General features: G+C 41.4%; 1 annotated feature.

The window, feature by feature from the left end:
* Positions 458–752: an enhancer, noted in NCBI's record as "tiled region #12048; K562 Activating DNase matched - State 5:Enh". NCBI's record gives its function as "activates a minimal TATA promoter and a strong SV40 promoter by Sharpr-MPRA in K562 cells {active_cell/tissue: K562}" and the evidence as "EXISTENCE:reporter gene assay evidence [ECO:0000049][PMID:27701403]".

The following is a 1,156-nucleotide window of genomic DNA, read 5'->3' on the forward strand; positions in this document are numbered from 1 at the left end:
TGCATTTTTTGTTAGTTGAAATTTTCCTATTAGTAAATCTTTATCAGCTCACACCTTAGTGGGGCCATTTTGGGCAACTGAGTGGTTTGGTGTTAGATAAGTGTCACTGAATGGGAGTAGCAAAGGTTCAAACTTGAGCATGGGAGATGTCACAGAGCTGCTTCTGGCCAACTCTGGCAAGGGCACTCAATAGTCAGTCCTGGGAGCCTAGCAGCTTGGCTGTGGGTGTGTTTGAAAGAGATCTCAGGTCGAGATTAATTCTTGGCAGCTGGTGAATCTATCAGCTGTATCTCTATTAGACTTTAACAGGAATAATTGAATTTTTCTTAAGCTAATGTTTGCTGTTTGTTGTTGAAGATTTCTGTAAATAAGAGATACTGTTCTCCCTGATCATTTATCTTCAGAGTGGAATCACTTTTAGTTGAGATTAGGTTTTAAGGCAAAAATTTATTTGATTTACCTTTTGAAGCTTTTTAGCAGGCACTTTGTTATAAAATATAAGCAATGTGTAGCTCAAGATAGCTGTCTTTTTCTTAAGTATTGGGATGAGTCATATTTTCTTTATCTGATTGCCAGCAGATGGAGTTGGCTTATACTTGAGGGCCATAGTTTTTTCTGGAAAACATGTCTCTTTAAATGCTGAGGTCATACTCCTACACTACACTCAGTGTAACAAGAAGCTCATATAATAGGAGTTACTTAGGGCCTGGGAGTCACTCATGAGCACCAGATTCAGGTTCCCTGAAGGCGTGTGCCCATTGAGTGGCACGGTGGTATCCCAAGATCACAACTATAGAAATTGTTCTCTTTCTCTCTCTGCCCCTGGGCCTGTGTCCTCAAAGCCAGCAATGGCGGGTCAAGCTCCTCCAAGTGTCCAATCTCTCCAGCCTCTTTTTGGTCCTTTTTCTGTCAGTGCTTTTTTTATTTTTTCTAGCTGGCCCTTCTCACTCTGAAAGGGCCATGTGACTACATTGGGCTCCCTGGAATAATTCAGGATAACATTCCTAATTTCAGACCTGTAACTTTGATTCCATCTCCAAAGTCCCTCTTGCCATATAATGCAACTATATTCTTAGGTTCCAGGGATAGATAAGGATGCAGGGATCTTGAAGAGGTGGGATGAGATTTAGTCTGTCTACCACGGATCACCTGACAA

Source organism: Homo sapiens, chromosome 3 (assembly GCF_000001405.40).
Source record: "Homo sapiens chromosome 3, GRCh38.p14 Primary Assembly".
Classification (NCBI taxonomy): Eukaryota; Metazoa; Chordata; class Mammalia; order Primates; family Hominidae; genus Homo; species Homo sapiens.